The sequence below is a fragment of the Homo sapiens genome, chromosome 16 (assembly GCF_000001405.40).
Source record: "Homo sapiens chromosome 16, GRCh38.p14 Primary Assembly".
Taxonomy (NCBI): domain Eukaryota; kingdom Metazoa; phylum Chordata; class Mammalia; order Primates; family Hominidae; genus Homo; species Homo sapiens.
In genome coordinates, this window is record NC_000016.10 from 75,965,588 (window position 1) to 75,967,020 (window position 1,433).

A 1,433-nucleotide genomic window follows, 5' to 3' on the forward strand; every position below is an offset into this window, starting at 1 on the left:
TATGTCACTGTGAGGTGTCAAATGTCAGGTGACTGAGGCTTCTGTAGCTTCACAGCATCACCGGTAAATACCTTTATGAGTATTCTTTATTTTTCCATGTGGATTTGAGTCACCATCTGGTTCATTTTAGCCTGAAGGACTCTCTTTAGTATTTCTGGTAGGGCAGATCTGCTAGCAACAAACTCAGTTTTTCTTTATCAGGAAATGTCTTAAGGCATGCCTTCAACACTCAGCAGGAATTTTATAATGTGCCTAGCCTGCATTTCCTGCTAGTGCACAGCCTCCAGCTTAACCACAGGTGAAAATTTAGGAGATTCTCAGGTCTTTTCCTGGGCATATGCAGAGCCCTCTGTGTGTGGCCTTTTAGATTTCCAGAAATATGTTGCAGCTTTTCAATCTCCCCCAAGGACATCTCATTCTCCAACTTTTCCTTTTAAATGTTATGACTACCCTATTGTTTGCCTCCTGTTCTCCACTACTTCTGGCATTCACAATGTTAAACAATTGTCTCTAATAATTGTTTTTCACAAATGTCCTCTCCTCCCATTCCAGGAAAAATCTATTTGCATTGAGTCAACTCTGAGTCAGTAAAAGTAAAGACAGCTTTTGCAAGTAGAATCTTCCAAAGAATTACCAAAGTGTTCAAATAATGACAATTATCTGAAATGGGGCTTTGAAGGAGCTCTGATCTGTTCTCTCTCCAATGACTAACATGCTACTGATCTCTGTGTGATGTGCAGCTGTTATCCTCAAGGCTGTCACTGAGCTGGCATGGGAGAATGAGAATAGGGCAAGTTAATAAAACACCACAAATCTCACAAAACACCTGAGATTTAGCAATTTTTCTTTAATAAACACTCTCAGGATTGCCTCAAGCCTCTGGTTAATTCCAGAGTCCTGAGCATGTTGATTTGAACAATTTTTACCAGTTTCCTCATCGCTTTGATGGAGGAGAGGATTTTTGGAGGGTTTTTTTACTCCATTATTTTCACTGATATCACCTATTCAGTCCCTCTTTGGTTCTCATTTGGGTCAAAGTGAGATGAAATATACTAAAAATATTAAAAAGGTGCCAGGTAGAAGCTGGGCAAAACTAGATGATGGGTTGATAGGTACAGCAAACCACCGTGGCACACGTATACCTATGTAACAAACCTGCACGTTCCGCACATGTATCCTAGAACTTAAATAAAATAAAACCCCAGAGATGGTTGTCAATTTTGTCCTTTAATATGTATGCAGATTGTACAGATTTTGGGGAACTCATTTTGGGGGGCTGCTGGTCATCAAATGGAAAACCTATTTTATGAATGTGTCATTCTTGAATTTAAACACATGAGCGTGGGGTGGATGAGGAGGGTAGTGTGATTGCAGGTGGCACTGCAAATGAGCTGGTGCATCTTAGCAAAAAAAGAGATGGATGCCAGGGCCAA

General features: G+C 40.4%; 1 annotated feature.

Annotated features, from left to right (window-relative positions):
• Positions 564-858: a silencer, noted in NCBI's record as "tiled region #3262; HepG2 Repressive DNase matched - State 9:DNaseU, and K562 Repressive non-DNase unmatched - State 24:Quies". NCBI's record gives its function as "represses a minimal TATA promoter and a strong SV40 promoter by Sharpr-MPRA in HepG2 and K562 cells {active_cell/tissue: HepG2 | K562}" and the evidence as "EXISTENCE:reporter gene assay evidence [ECO:0000049][PMID:27701403]".